We start from the raw sequence: 17,401 nt of genomic DNA on the forward strand, positions 1-17,401 counted from the left end.
TTTTCTTTATCTTGTGAAAATTATGTTTATTCTTGTAAAATTTATGATTTTTCTCTTTCTTTTTGCCAGGTGGTATTTTTGAATATGTGGAATCTGGCCCAATGGGAGCTGAGGAACTTGCATTCAGATTTGCTGTGAACACAATTAACAGAAACAGAACATTGCTACCCAATACTACCCTTACCTATGATACCCAGAAGATAAACCTTTATGATAGTTTTGAAGCATCCAAGAAAGGTAATTGATAGATTTTTAACATCTTTGTTTCCTGGAATTCAAATTTCTAGGTATTCTTAAGAGATTTTTTTATTTTTCAACATACAGTTAATAAGTTGTTAGGAATATTTGCATGCAAAGATTTATTTTCAAAATGCATATAAATTTTATCAGAGAAGATAAAGTATAATTCCTCTTGCAAAAAATCTGCTTATAACATGAAATACAATTACATCTGTTAGTGAAATTTTTTTTCTATTGATCCTTCCATCTTATTATAGAAGCATTCCTATTTTTAAGAACCCACAAATATAAAATTTATATGAGTGGATTTTACCAATTTTGCAATCCATTCTTACATCTTTATTTGCATTATCTTTCAATCCCATTATATTATTACTGTGGTCTCAATTGATTGGCTACCTTGAAAGTTATGTGGTTCTAAGTGACTTCAAAATGTCAGCATATATTGAAACTTAATTGGAAAATTTTAAACAACCATTAGTTTATGTATATTCCATGCTCATATTTTAACCATCTAATATTTCTTTTTGTAACTGAAAATAAATGGCTGATTATGTAAAAACTGAATTATATAAGGACATAATTAGAATACTTTATGAGTTTTATTTTCATGTTATAACTGTTGTAAATGTCAAAAATATAGAAAAAGAATAAAAAGAAAAATAATTTGGTGGAATAAAAATTTAATATTTATATATGAAGGAAGGCAATAGAGAAAACTATTATTAAAGCATTTATTTTAACCAGACAGCTGTCAGTAGTAAATGTGTTTGAGAGGTGCTTCTATAGTCTTATGTGGGTGATCTTTTCTTATATATGTAGATAATCTTATAGTAGGTGATCTTTTCTTTTGCATAGTTAGCATTTATATAATAGGAATTAAATTTTATAATAAAGATTTTTCTCAAAGGAAAAGGCTTATAAAGTGTTTGTTCTAACATTATATTTTAAAACAATGTTTGCCTTTCTGTAATGCTAATATGGTTTTACTGTAGCTACCTTATATTGGTGGAAATGTACATAATTATTTATAATTCCAGGTTAGTGCAAATTGTTTAAGCTCATTAATATTAATGGTAGCTGACAAGGTACAGTATTTCTCGAGATGAAAGTATCCTTCTTTTCCCCCAGCAGCTAAGTAGTGTTTATCAAAGCCATACTTTGCATGCCCTTTGAATTCATATCTTTATGAATACAAATAAGTTTCCACATTTCAGAGCCTGTCAGGTGATGAAAGGTTTTGAAGACTGAGAAAAAGGTTAAAGGTAACTGTGAAATATTACATTTGTCATCATAATTGCAAAATAAATCATTAATTCAAGACTATTACATTTGATTAGTGGCATAGTTCATGATTGTTTCCATTAGGAAGAAGAAGTTCTGCCTCTAATGAAAGCATTTTGATCAAAGAATATGGAGTATGAGTGCAGTATAGATAAAATATTAGTAGATTTCTTAATGGTGATTTCAAATGAACAGCATAAAAAAACACAGGTTCGGATGTTCTCACAACAGAGTACTATCCTGGGAATGCCCTAGCAAAATTATGAATTGATAAAGTCATGTGGTTTGACCAAAATATTATAAGAAATTTACAAGCTTTGTTACCCAATAAAAACTCACTGGGAATCAAATCCATCATTTCACTTTGGCTTGAAGCTAGGAAAAGCTGAAATAAGTGTATGAATAACTGTCTTTGTGAATGTCATGGTTTGGATTTTATCTTCTGAATCTCTTGTTTGTTGAGTTATTACTGCTTGGAGGACACAGCAATACATAAAAACATAATATAACAGAGCCAATATTTTTTTAACTTTATCAAGAAATGTATATATTGATAATATTGTTAATGATTAATTATAAAATAACTTTAGATATTTTAAAAATGTAATTATTTATCCAATGCAAGAAAATAATAATAAATGAGATGTTACCTTTTGACATTTTATCTAATTTTTTTCTGTTATAGTTTTAAAGGGTAGTATTGTTCTGCTCAATTAATAAATACTTTGATGTATTAGAGCTTGAATTATTGTTTGAATCATATATTTTTAAATAACTCTTCTGATAACCGAAAGCTCTAATCTTGCTTGAAACACACTTAGAAACATTCTAAATAACTTAATTCAGTGTTTTTAGCTTTTCTTGGTTTGTGATTTGTCACAAACCTGGTGAAGGAAGATCATTTATCTTCAGTATATATGAATTAAAATCTCATGTTGAGTGAAAAATTCTCAAGTCTAGCCACCATTTATACTAATTTAGAATTCCACATGTTATTTAAAAAGTAAGAATCCATGTATTTAAAAACAATTTATTTAGATCATATTGATTTTTAAAGAATGTTTAAACAAGTGTTCTGACAATAATTTACTTAATTATTAAATATTTCCATGCTTAATTCACGTATAATATTATATTTTATGGAGAAAACTGAGGGAAAATAGCAGAAATTTTCACACGGTAGAATAATAAACTATCCATTTTGGAGGAATTGAGTCTGAACACCTAATTTATGCCTAAAGCTCAGTAACAATCCTTCTCTGTCCTTTAAATATTTGCAGTGATGGGCAAACCATTGCCTCTTGGGGAAGACTATTTCATTTTTCAACATGGTTTACTTTTTTTTTGACACACAGTTTTGGTCTGGCACCCAGGTAGGCCAGGAGTGGCACCATCATGGCTCACTGCAACCTCAATGTCCCAGGCTCAAGTGATCCTCCCACCTCAGCCTGCCAAGTAGCTAGGACTATAGGCACACAGCACCATGCCCAGCTGAATTTTTTTTTGTTTCTTTTTGTTTGTTTGTTTTTGTTTTTCTTTTTGTTTTAGTAGAGAGGAGGTCTCACTGTGTTGCCCAGGCAGGTCTCGAATTCCTCGTCTCAAGCGATCTTCCTGCATTGGCCTCCCGAAGTGCTGGGATTACAGGTGTGAACCATGGCATGAGGCCATTATTTAGAATTAAAAATAATAGCCGGGTGTGGTGGCTCATGCCTGTAATCCCAGCACTTTGGGAGGCCGAGGCGGGTGGATCACGAGGTCAGGAGATCAAGATCATCCTGGCTAACATGGTGAAACCCTGTCTCTACTAAAAATACAAAAAATTACCCAGGCTTGGTGGCATGTGCCTGTAGTCCCAGCTACTCGGGAGGCTGAGGCAGGAGAATCGCTTGAACCCGGGAGGCAAAGGTCGCAGTGAGCTGAGATCACACCACTGCACTCAAGCCTGGGCGACAGACTGAGACTCTATATCAACAAAATAAATAATAAATAAATAAATAAATAAATAAATAAATAAATATGAAGTGGGTAAAAATTCAGGGGAAGCTTCTATTTTTTTTCTAATTCCCCTTTGCCCATCAAGTGAAACAAACTTAAGCTTCTTTCACATGCCAGGTCTTCATATATTTAAAGATAAGTTTTGTGTTCCCAATAATTACTCACTTTCTAGGCCCAAGCTCGCTATTTGTGTCAGTGTGCCTTATAGAAAGTTCAGGTCATGGCACAGTCTATTTTAATCTGAATACCCTCTAGTTTGTTCATGCCTTTCTTAATTACTGTGGTTATTATTGATATGAATAAAATTTTCTGTGAGTAAATACAAACTTTAAAAAATAGAATAATAGAAAACACTTATAGCATCCAAAAGCCAAATATATAAAGATGACTGAGTACTTGTCTAATGACTTTTCTGTTTTTCTACTCAGTGTGACTGATCCATATGAAATCACTCTCTAAGAGCTATAGCAGGTTTTGTGTGGCTGAGTGTTCGCATAACCCGACATGTATCATCAGATAGGTGGAAATGTTCATCTGTGTGTGAGCATAGCTAATTGCACGAGTAAAGGGGGAACCATGTGGCTTTTGATTAAGAAATGGAAAATGTAAAAACTGTTCAGTGAATTTGAGAAGCTGCACTATTCCCTCATTCCCCTCATATAAACTAGTCTTCCAAAACAAGCACTGCCCCCTTAAATTAAAAAATATTCATCCTCTCTCTCCTTGCCTGTCTCCCTCCCCTGACATTATTTATAGAATTATTTGAACATTGAGCTGCAGGGTGAGTTAATTCCCTTGTAACAAACGGAAAGTGTTCAGAGTCAGACAAAATTTTAAATTAGTGAAAAGTAGATATATATTTTTTAAAAACACAAATCTTTCTTGAGAATGATACCTTTGGGTTTAAAATAATAATGTGGTATCTGTTGGCACACTGGCACCTCTCCTCTCATTATTGACAGACCTTTATCTCCTCTTCAGCCTGTGATCAGCTGTCTCTTGGGGTGGCTGCCATCTTCGGGCCTTCACACAGCTCATCAGCAAACGCAGTGCAGTCCATCTGCAATGCTCTGGGAGTTCCCCACATACAGACCCGCTGGAAGCACCAGGTGTCAGACAACAAAGATTCCTTCTATGTCAGTCTCTACCCAGACTTCTCTTCACTCAGCCGTGCCATTTTAGACCTGGTGCAGTTTTTCAAGTGGAAAACCGTCACGGTTGTGTATGATGACAGCACTGGTAAGAAAAATCAGTATCTTTTGGAGCTATGCTTTAAATATAGATAATTTTCTGAAGCCCATTCCAGGTTCTTATTGTATTCTTATGTGCTTTATTTTGAGTTTTGAAAATTCAGCTAAGGGGTAGAAAGACAGAATCAAACACCAATCCTAATTTCACATATCCAAACAAAGAATACCTATGTTGAATACTTCTTCTCTGTATTTGTAAAATAAGCATTTTTTTATTCCTGTGAAAGATCAGCTAGTTTGGTAGGTTGGATGAAAGATAGATGTAGTAAACAATATTATAGATAGATAGATAGATACACACACACGTACACATACACATACACACACACATATGTATATATATATTTAGAATTCCAGTCATTTAAAAAGTAAGAATCCATGTATTCAAAAACAATTTATTCAAAAACAATATGGTCTAACAATTTAGATCATATTGAATAATGTGTGTGTGTGTGCGTGTGTGTGTCTCTGTGTGTGTGTGTGTGTGTGTGTGTGTGTGTGTACATAGACAGATAGATAGAGTCACTCTGTCGCCCAGGCTGGCATACAAGGGTGCAATCTCAGCTTACTGCAACCTCTGCCTCCCAGGTTCAAGCGATTCTCCTGCCTCAGCTTCCCAAGTAGCTGGGATTACAGGCATACGCCACCACTTCTGGCTAATTTTTGTATTTTTAGTGGAGTCAGGGTTTCATCATGTTGGCCAGGCTGGTCTCGAACTCCTGACCTTAAAAGATTCACCTGCCTTGGCTTCCCAAACTGCTGGGATTACAGGTGTGAGCCACTGGACCCATTCTGAAATATTTATTTAAAGAATTTTTCTGCTATGAAGTTTTTGCTAGGGTAGTTTCTCAAGGCAAAGCCTTGTGATGAGTCAGTGAAACTTGCCAAGAAATTCAGAATTATGCCTTACTATTTTATCTGGCTGTTTATGTGCAAAGAATGCATATAAAACGTAACAAACTTTATAAGGCATGTTAAGGTTAGAAAAGTTTTTACTCATATGTGGAACAATATAATATTCACTGAAACACTCAAGTTTGTGGAACTGCTTTTGTGTAGATGTCATTTAGAGACTTAGAAAATAGAATTTACTAAATGATATTTATTTCAGTGAGTTAAAGGAATATTTTAATAAATATTTGCTAACTACAGGTTGTCTGCTTTCTTATGTTAATGCATTTTATTATTTTTGCATACAAATGGTTATCTTGAATTATCAGTTAAAAACAAGTCTCAGAGAAATACAATAAAGTAACAAAAATGAAATTTTAATTTTCATTGAAAGTTACATTGGTGATGCAGCTGCATACTATTTTGCTTACTATAGAGTGATAATTAATTTTACTTTAAGATGTTTATCAACAATATAAACAGTGCTCTTTAAATTAGAACATAAAAACATTTTATTTTAGGACACTTCGCTATACTTTCATAATTACATTGAGATTGAATTTCATTTGAATTTAAATTCTCTCAAAGTATGCCAGGAGCACATTTTGTTCATGCATGCAGTATATAGAACTCTGTGCAGAAATTTGCCCATTTGCCAATAAAATTGGTCATCTGCAAATTGACAGATAAGAACTCTTTCAAGGGAATAGGAAACTGGGAGCTACAGGATTAAAAAAAGGGAAAATAATTTCAAAAACATTTTCAATTAGATAAGAAAGAGTGAAATGCATCTAGATACAAATTAGAGTAATTTTGTTTTCTTATTTAAAATGTGAAATATTTATAAATAATTAAAAATTAGGAATACATTATTAAGAGTCCTTAAAAATAAGTATGTTTGATCTCTGTTAGCTCAAATTAAACCTATTAAATTTATTATATTGCTTTCTTCCTAAATCATTACTTCTTTGTCATTGGTAAAGTTCTGTGTTCCAATTTTGAATGTCAGGTTCTATATGAATGATTTCTGTGAGTATGTGTAATCAAATGATCCAAGGGATCCTCAGTTGCAAATTGGTCCACTTATGTTTATGGATGGTCATCTACAAAACTATATAAATATAGATACATGTGCATTGTTAATCTGTGGATTGTTTACTTCTCCATTCCTTCCTGATGTAATTCATGTATAGGTTGTCCAAACATCATATATCCTTATAATGTATACATTATATACATATGTGCATGCACACAGGTATGTACATCATACATGTGATATTTTGTATTAATTATCATCCTTAAACTCCTCATAGGAAGAAGAAAATTGACAAGTATTCAAAATGTCTACAGACATATTAACTTTATTCACAATCCTACGTGTATGCACATGTGTGGCATTTTTATTTAATATATGTGGGTCTTAAGTGATTCACTAAATAGATAATGGGATTTGCAATCAGGTCCTACAATAATTTGGTAAAATACAGCCTCATGTATTTGTTCTATTCCTGCTTTAAATTATATTCTCAATTATATCATTGAGGCAAATATAAATAGGGACATATGTATAGCTAGTTGATTATATACATTTAATGGAGTCCTGACCTCAAATTTATTAAAATGCTTACTATTTAGTTACTCGTTACTATTTAAAGGAAACTTTGCCACTCCCTTGGCTTTGAAGGTGACATAGACAGTTGGATATTTGAAAAGTCTGATTAGTTAAGTGGTAATGCTAACTTAGAATTGTTACAGAATTATTCATAGAATAAATATGTCTTGAAATCCTCTGAAGAATAAAACATATTGCTGTTCCATTTTATGCAACATTTAATTCAATGAATTTTGATTATCAACTGATACATGCCAGGGAGAGTTAAATGCCACGAAAGGAATTATATGCCACTAAAGGAAACAAAGGCCCAGCCCTTGTTGAGCTTCTAATCCCTATTGAGGGACATGTAATAACTCATATTTTTAATACTATTTGCAATGGGATAATTGCACTTGTAACAGACCAATTGTTGCCTCTTACTTTACAGCATTTTTGAGAACTTTGATTATTTAATATGATAGAACTGACTCGAAGGCAGAAAAGTCCCTTTGAAATGTATTTATAAATATATAGTAGACTTTTTGTCTTTTTGTTTATGTGTCAAAGTCTCAAGGTAGAATTTTTTTCAACTTTCATTTTAAAATCAGGGAGTGCATGTGCAGGTTTGTTACAAGGCTATATTGCATGATGCTGAGCATTGGGTACAACTGAACCAATCACCCAATGAACAGGGTATCCAATAGATAGTTTTTCAACCCTTAACCTCTTCTCTCCCTCCCCACGCTTGTAGTCTCCAGTGTCTATTTTTTCCTAGATTTATGTACGTATGTACCAAATGTTTAGCTCCTACTTATAAATAAGAACATGAAGTATTTGGTTTTCTGTTCCTCTGTAATTCACTTAGGATAATGGCTTTCAGCTACATCCATGTTGCTGCAAAGAACATAATTTTGTTCTTTTATATGGCTGCATAGTATTCCATGGTGTATATGTACCACATTTTCTTTATTCAATCCACAATTGATGGGCATCTTGGTTGATTCCATGTCTTTGCTGTTGTGAATAGTGCTGCAATGAACATATGCATGCATGTGTCTATTTGATAGAATCATGTATTTTCCTTTGTGTATATACCCAGTAATGGTATTGCTGAGTCAAATGTCGTTCTATGTTTAGCTCTTTGAAAAATCTCCAAACTTCTTTCTACAATGGCTGAACTAATTTACATTCCCACCAAACTGTACAAGCATTCCTTTTTCTCTGCAACCTCACCAACATTTATTGTTTTGACTTCTTAATAATAGCCATTCAGACTAGTGTGAAATGGTATCTCATTGAGGTTTTGTTTTGCATTTCTCTGATGATTAGTGATGCTGAACGTTTCTTTCATATGTTTGTTGGCTGCATGTACATCTTCTTTTGAGGAGTATCTGTTCCTGTCCTTTGCTTACTTTTTTAATGGGGTTATTTGTTTTTTGCTTGTTGATTTATTTCAGTTTCTTATAGGTTCTGGGTATTAGACCTTTGCTTGATGCATAGTTTGTGAATATTTGCAAGGTATAGTTTTAATGATAGAATTCAGCAAAGAGAATTTGTCAGCTTCTCAAAAGAGCAAGATGACTATTTGATGATGTGATAGGAAATTTACTGTGAACTGAAATGGGAAAAACTCCACCTCATACACAATAAAATAAACATTACTGTCTTTATGATGGACTTATGTATCTGCTTTTACTGCAAAACACACATGTGCTTTTTTTTTTACATATTTCCTTTTTCCTTTCCATATTTATTTATTATGTATGCTGTTGCTCCCATTTGTATTCATTTCTTTTTTGTTGTGTTGTCCAGTTTGATACATGATAATTATACTTTCATCCAGTCTTTGTTCCCACCCCCAAAACAGATGGGATGATAAATGAAATATAGTGCTGGAATAGGATAAATTCTTAAAATGATGTTAACAGGAGCTATTTATTTTTTACGATAATTAGCATTTGTTGTTGTCATGGATGAATGCTTTTAAACACGCTGAAAGTCTGTTATAGCTCTGAATGATGTCCAAAAATGATGGAAAAGAATTGGCTTCAGAAACAAAGCTGTGTTTCTGTCAGTCATTTTGGAACATATGATTCATTTTAAATATAAACTAAAAATAAGTTGGCTAGATGACAGCTTGTAAGCAATTCCAGAATAAGTTGTTCATATTTGCTTTAAAATCCCTGTGTTTCATCTTTGTTTATAGATCAGCAGTCCATTAACAAAAAAACTCTGGACTGGTAAACAGAAGCATGGGATTCTATTCCCAGTTTTGCTACTAAATTACTGGTACAACTTCAGAAAATACAAGAAGGGAATGGAAATGCCTGCAGAAATGAGCTATAATGCACTATGAATTGACATTGTGTTAGTTGCTGTCACGTAAACTATTTCACTTAATCTTCAAAACAATTCTGTGTGTCCCAAAGGAAACAGGTGATCATGACATCATACCTGTTATCTCCAGTGACTGGCTCTCCTGCTCACCAGAGCCTAAACTAGAAACATGAACATCTTCCTTGATTCTTTTCTTTTTTTGGCTCGACAACAATCGGTTGTCAATTCTATACTTGTATGATCTCTCAAATCTTTTATTTTTTTCCTACCCCCTACCACTTCTTAGGTCAAAATCACCTCCCTCTGTCAGCTGGATGATTAACAGCCTTCTAACTGGTCTCCCTTTTTCTAGTCTCTCCATTGCAGTTAGTGTAATTTTTTTAAAAATGCAATTCTGATCTGTTTCCCTCTTAATAGCTTCTCATTCCTCTAAGGCATTTTTAAGAAGACTTACAATGCTTAGTGTGATGTAGCCCCTATACTTGTCCAGTGATATTTGAGTCCAAATCCCCCACTAATTTATTTCAAATTGAGCCAGTAGACACCTTTTAGTTGTTGAAAATAATCTTCTGTTTACCTGGGAAGCTCTCTTTCTGATCCTATTCCTCCTAGCCATGAAGTGCACACGTACATGTGCACATTTGCACAAACACACTCAGGCATACCATCCGGCTTGGGTGTCACAAAGAAAGGCTGCCCTGACCCCTGCTTTCAAGTCTGGAATAGGTCTCTCCAAACACATCCCAAAGGACCATGGAAACACCCATGACCATCCCCACCCCCATGAGAACTCTTATCACACTCTGAATGGCTTTTCTTGGGTGGATCTTCTACTGGATCAACCACACATCTGAGCAGGGTGAACCCTAAGGCTGCTCACTGTTTTATCACCAGCATCTAGAATGTTGCCTGGTTGTGGAAGTACCTTAATACTTCTTAATAATAGGAAGATGTGTTATATCCATTTTTAAGCAAGATAATTCCAATGAGTTAAGTATTCTGCCAAAGTCAAATTTGGTTAAGTAGCCTTTAACTACTTGCCAAGGAATAAATAGATTCAGCCATAATTTTCAGATATATGGACATGACTCTTTTATGATTTCAAAAATTTTATAAGAAAGCTCGAGTGAATTGTGTTTCTTTGATTTCAACTGCAGTTAAACATATATATGTGAGTATATACATATATATGTATTCTTATTTGAGCAATTATTAAATTTCTGTATACCAGCTGCTATCTTAGGCAGAGGGGACAAGAATTATAGATAAAACTTTGACCTTCTCCATGGGCTCAGAGTAGAGTAAGTTAGGAGAGAATAACACTACACTCTAGTGTAACAAGTGCACAGAGAGGCAAGAAAACAGCATCATGACATCTCAGGAGAAGAAGGGCTCAGGAGAAGAAGCTGCCTGGAAAGGATGGAGAAGAGTTTTAGAGAAAGTGACGTTATAAAATTATCATGAAGGATAAGTAAAATGCTGCAACTGGAGAAGAGTCTACAGTGTGCAACATGTGTAAATGTGAAGATGACTGAGGGAGCCAGTTTGTCAGGAAATTGCAAGCACTTCATTATGACTGAGTAACAGAAACAAGGAAGATGAGGAATGATCAATGGATTTTATAAAAAGCTAGCGTAGGAGAGATCACAGAGAGCTTTGTACTACCAAGTCCACCTTTTCTTGCCCACCCTGCCCTGGAATCTACATGGTTATAGCAATATCAGTGATGTTTGTGTGATGTGAGCCTGCTTTCAAACCACCATGGAATGCCTCAAAAATTGGCATATATCCATTCACCTTTTTCCTGGAAACTCAGAAAAAGACATAGAGGGCCATCTGTCAGCCTAGACTATTGTGGTTACTACGGTCTTTGGTATCAGGACATTCTAGACTGAAATCCTGACCCTGTCGTGTAGTTTTTAGCAAGGGATTTGACCACTAACAGTCTGAGAGTTGATGCATGTATAAGGTGAGGATAATATGTGTCATACTTCACAGGATTGTTGTTGTGTAAAGTGCCTCATAGAGGAAACATAACAAGAATTTAAAACTTTCAACAATATAAATGCTATGGGCCATGTGCCATTTTTCTTCACTAAACTCTATGATAAAGAAATTATTAATCTCACAATTTTTGAAATTGATGCTTGTTTATTATAGGAAATTCAGGAACTACAATAAAGTTTAATAAAAATAAGATAAAATAATCAAGATTTTTTGCTATCAAGTTAATCATTTTAGATTTCTTTCCAGTCTGTTTCTCTACAAATACACATACACATACACACAAAGAGCATATCATTTAGAGTTCTGGGAAAGAAACAGAAGAAACACGTAGCTTGTAATCCCACTATTTTAATATGAGAAAACTTAGATGCAGTGAGTTGAAGTAATTTGCCCAAGGTTACATACATAGCACATAAGTGATAGATCTGGGTTTTGAAACTAGGCAGTCAACTTTAGAATCTACTCTGTTAAATACTGTTACATGATGTTAGTTGTTGTTTTATTTTGTGGGGGTTTTTTTTGGCTCTTTTTAAAAATCATTATTTTAAGCAAGATAATGGCAAGATTAGAACTATTTTTGGTAATGGCTTTCTGACTGCAGTGTGGAGAATGTGTTGGGGATATGAGATATGGAGAGCAATAGGGCAACACTGGAAGCAGGGGAATTCCTGAATTAGCCAAGTTGAAAAGAGATGACAGTTTCAATTAAGAAGATTTTGATGGAATAATGTTGACATGAAGAATTCTAAGAGGACTTAGGAGATACAGATTGTAGAATTTAGTAAGTGGTTGCCGGGAAGGAGTGATGAAGACAGGAAATAAGAATTACTCTATGTTCCTAGTTGGGGATACTAATCAGTGGCACATTTACCTAGAAGGGGAAAACAAGAAAAACAGCTTCAAGAGAGAAGACGGTGTCTGCTTCTTAACATATGAAGTTTGAAACATCTATGAAATATTCACTTGCTATCATTCAGTGGTATTGTATATATCATAAATTCATCTTAAAAATAGGAACTTGGTCTGGGCAGGCATATAATGCTTCCATTGGCATTTTGCTGTGCCCTTCATTTGAACTTCTTTGTAGTATTAGGAAATGAAGAAAATCAACAAAAAACAATGAAATAAAAATAGGGTGATAGTACAAAAGAAATGAGTTAGTAGGTGGGCAGCCATGGAGATAAATATAGACATGAGAAGAGCTTACAGACAGAATGTACATTCTTTTCATTAGTGAAGGAAAAGCAGTAATATTTTTAGAAATAGTAATATTTACCAAATTGAGCCTAGACTAATTTCTATGATACGATCACAGGAAAAAAAAAAGCCAAAGCTTTTATCTTAAGCAAAAACACAAACACTTTCTTAAAACACTAACTTTATTCATTTGGATGAAGTATACTTATAGATTGCTTTAGATACATTTTTGTGTGCTTTTGGAGTTAGCATAATATAATGGAAAGTCAATTAATAGTGAAAACTCATTTTATTTTATCTTGCACGTATATTTAAATAGGATAAAATAAAATTAAAGTTAATATAAAAATGTATATTCCTGGAAGACACTAATTTTTGAATAAGATAATTTTTATATTATGAAGCATACAATCAAATAATTTCCATTTTATTTTAGGGAGTGGGGTAATTTGGATCTCAGATGATTATATGTTGTACATTTTAAATACAAGCTTCAAGTGCTGTGTTCTCTAATTCCAAGTGCAAATACAATTAGCAATTATGAGTTAAACTTAATTATTTGGATATACTTGATTACATAGCTTGGTGTAGTAGTATTTCCACACAGTTGGTTATGCTTGAACTTATTTTTTTATTCCTATTTAAGCAATCATAAAAATTTTTTTAGAAAAAAGTTAACTCAAGATGGATTAAAGACTTAAACGTAAGACCAAAAACCCTAAAAACCCTAGAAGAAAACCTAGGCAATACCTTTCAGGACATAGGCATGGGCAAAGATTTCATGACTAAAACACCAAAAGCAATGGCAACAGAAGCCAAGATTGACTAATGGGATCTAATTAAACTAAACAGCTTCTGCACAGCAAAAGAAACTATCATCAGAGTGAACAGGCAACCTAGAGAATGGGAGAAAATTTTTGCAATCTATCCATCTGAAAAAGGGCTAATATCCAGAATCTACAAGGAGCTTAACCAAATTTACAAGAAGAAAAAACCCTATCAAAAAGTGGGTGAAGGATATGAACAGACATTTCTCAAAAGAAGACATTTTTGTGGCCAACAAACATATGAAAAAAAGCTCATCATCACTGGTCATTAGAGAAATGCAAATCAAAACCACAATGAGATACCATCTCACACCAATTAGAATAGCAATCATTAAAAAGTCAGGAAACAACAGATGCTGGAGAGGATGTGGAGAAATAGCAATGCTTTTACACTGTTGGTAGGAGTGTAAATTAGTTCAACCATTGTGGAAGACAGTGTGGTGATTCCTCAAGGATCTAGAACCAGAAATACCATTTGACCCAGTAATCCCGTTACTGGGTATATACCCAAAGGATTATAAATCATTCTACTATAAAGACACATGCACACGTATGTTTATTGCAGAACTGTTCACAATAGCAAAGACAGAATCAACCCAAATGCCCATCAATAATAGACTGGATAAAGAAAATGTGGCACATATAAACTATGGAATGCTATGCAGCCATAAAAAAAAGGATGAGTTCATGTCCTTTGCAGGGTCATAGATGAAGCTGGAAACCATCATTCTCAGCAAACTAACACAAGAACAGAAAACCAAACACCGCATGTTCTCAGTCATAAGTGGGAGTTGAACGATGAGAACACATGGACACAGAGGGGGCACATCACACACTGGGGCCTGTCAGGGGGTGAGGGAGTAGGAGAGGGATAGCATTGGGAGAAACTCCTAAGGTAGATGACGGCTTGATGGGTGCAGCAAACCACCATGGCACATGTATACCTACGTAACATACCTGCATGTTCTGCACATGTATCCCATAACTTAAAGTATAATAAAAAAAAGAAAAGAAAATTATTTCTTGGGTTCTGATTAAATAATAGTGAATATTTACAAATATGTTTATAGGACTAATTCTCAAGTTTTAAAACCTTTAAAATATATGCCAACACGGAAAGACAAAAATCAAATTTTGAATCTGTAGCAATCACACAATTCATGTTTCTGTAGATAGTGAAATAAATCCACACTAGATCTAAAAATGTAGAAGGAGCAAGTCTTATACTAAACCTCAATAATATTTGCATTTTGGGGGGGCGGGGAAATGTGAAGGAAGAATAATTCTGGTGATAGTCAAACACTGCCATTTTTTAATTTACATTTTTCTAAATTTAAGCATATTGGCATGCACATTTTTGGTAGGTACTGCCCTCCTGCCCCCTACAGCCTTTCCTTGTTCTTGGCTATCTTCCTTTCTATGTGGTGAAGTGGGAAGGATAGTTCTTGTATCATCTCTCTGAAACACTTGAAAATTTTGACCATTCCTTTTTTCAGGGCAAAAATAAAAATTATTTTGCTTTGGCTTCTGCACTGTCATTCTATCTGTGTTACCTCCTTCTTTTTGGCCATTTATTCCCATTGTCATACTCTTAAACTCCTTTTTCTTTTCCTATTTCTTAACTCATGATGTTGTTCAAGATTTTATTCCCAGTCTTGTTTTCTCATTGTTTACCTCGTTCTCCCTAAAACCTTTCATTTGACTCGTGTTTCTGTACCTGTATGCTGTAGACTCACCAATCTACATTTTCAGTTGTTTGTACTGACCTCCATATTCACAGTTCCAGCCATCACTGATCATCTTTATTTGAATGTCTCATAGGTACATCTAACGCAACATAACAAAAGCCAAACTCAGTATCTTTGCCCGAAATTTGCTTTTTACTCCTGAATTTCCCTCTTTATTGGGTTGCCCACATCAGATCCCTAGTGATCATTCTAGATTCTTTCCTCTCTCTCACCCTCTATTTTCAGTTGATCATTTAGACTTCCCATTTTTATCTCACATTTCTCAAATTTACTCCTAGCTTCTATCCCTGTCTTAGTTAATATCATTTAGTGCTGAAACAACGCCCTGCCTGCTACTCTATTTAAATGTGTCTACCTGACGTAGAGAAAAGGGTCTTTTTTTGAAATGATAGTCTCATGAGGTCATTCCCAAGCTTAAAGCTGTTCATAGTCTCCCCAGTTCAGAGAAAAACGAATTGTTCCTCGGCATGACACATACAGTGTCCATCATTGACACTCTCATGCCTCTCTGATTTTAAATTTCTGGTATTCCTTCTCTTAATATTGTGCTGCAGCTTTCCTTGAATAATTATAGCTCTCTCTTACCAAGCATGCTATGCTGTCTCAATCTCTTTGCTGTGCACAAGTTGTCCTCTCTGCCTGATGTGTCTTTCCCATTTGGTGGCCTATTCATCACCTGTAAGATGTACCTTAAAATAGAATATCATTTCTAAATATTTATAAATTATTTCTAAATATTCTAATATTTAGAATATTATTTCTTGATGCAAGAGTTACTTTAGTAGATAAAATAGTTCATCTTCATTTCTGTAGTAAGTCTTATTTTTAGCATCCTCACATAAGTAATTTAGCAGGAGTGATGCTGTCCTGGTCATGGAAGCTCTAAATATCTTACAATTTATTTACCTATTTATTCATTTACTGATTTGTTTGTTTGTTTTATTACTTTATTTACTCCACAAGTAATTATCAAGTATCTAGTATGTGTCAGCACTGTTCTAGGTACCGGAGATATATAAGTAAACAAAATAGATAAAAATTCTTTGCCTTATGGAGCTTACATTCTAATGTAAGGTGATAAACAATAACAAAATAAATATGTGTACACAATAGTATCAAACGTGATAGGTGTTATGAAGAGAAATAAAGCAGGAGAGATGTGTAGGGAGTACATGGGAAGAAATATTGCAGTATTAAGAAGGGTTGCCAGAAAATACCTTATTTAGAAAATGGCATTTGAACTAAGACTTGAATAAACTAAGCAATTATGCCATATCTAAAGAAAAGTGTTTCAGAAAAAGCAAGGAGAAAAAAATATAACCACGGGGAAAATAGATTAAGAATTTTGAGCTAAAGGAGCCACGTTTTAGTTTTGATGATGAGTTTTGGGAAAATCTAAAAACCAAAGAAGACTATTGTGACATCTGTCATTTGTTGTGTGTGTGTATGTAGATCTGTAGATATATGATGACATATGTAGATGTTTCATTACTGTTTTAGTAACAATAATGTCATTTCTTTTAAAATAGCTTTGTGTAAGCCTGGGCAACATAGTGAAACCTAGTCTCTACAGAAAAAAAAAAATTAATTAGCTAGGTGTGGTGGCACTCACCTGTAACCCCAGCTACTCAGGAGGCTGAGGTGAGATGATTGCTTGAGCCCAGGAAGTTGAAGCTACAGTGAACCATGATTGCACCACCCTACTCCAGCCTGAGCAACAAAGTCAGATTCTGTTTCAAACAAATACACAAACAAAAAATAGTTCAGTGTAAGGACTTGTCCACGTAAAAGTTCGTTTTTCTTGTTGTTAAGAGGGAGTCTCGCTCTGTCGCCAGGCTGGAATGCAGTGGCGCAATCTCGGCTCACTGCAACCCCCACCTTCCGGATTCAAGCTATTCTGCCTCAGCCTCCTGAGTAGCTGAGACTACAGGCACGTGCCACCATGCCCGGCTAATTTTAGTATTTTTTAGTAGAGATGGGATTTCACCATGTTGGTCGGGTCGCAAACTCCTGATATCAAGTGATCTGCCC

General features: G+C 34.3%; 1 protein-coding gene across 8 annotated transcripts in view; it reads left to right on the forward strand.

Moving 5' to 3' along the window:
* GRIK2 (glutamate ionotropic receptor kainate type subunit 2) overlaps nucleotides 1–17,401 on the forward strand; it is a 676,376-nt gene that overhangs the window by 228,172 nt on the left and 430,803 nt on the right. For all 8 annotated transcript variants that reach the window (XM_047418681.1, NM_021956.5, XM_047418682.1 and 5 more), the window contains 2 exons: nucleotides 70–237; nucleotides 4,501–4,758. In XM_047418681.1, coding sequence (XP_047274637.1) covers nucleotides 70–237; nucleotides 4,501–4,758 — 426 coding nt within the window. The remainder of the gene's footprint in view (nucleotides 1–69; nucleotides 238–4,500; nucleotides 4,759–17,401) is intronic.

This window comes from Homo sapiens, chromosome 6, assembly GCF_000001405.40.
Source record: "Homo sapiens chromosome 6, GRCh38.p14 Primary Assembly".
In the NCBI taxonomy this organism is placed as follows: Eukaryota; Metazoa; Chordata; class Mammalia; order Primates; family Hominidae; genus Homo; species Homo sapiens.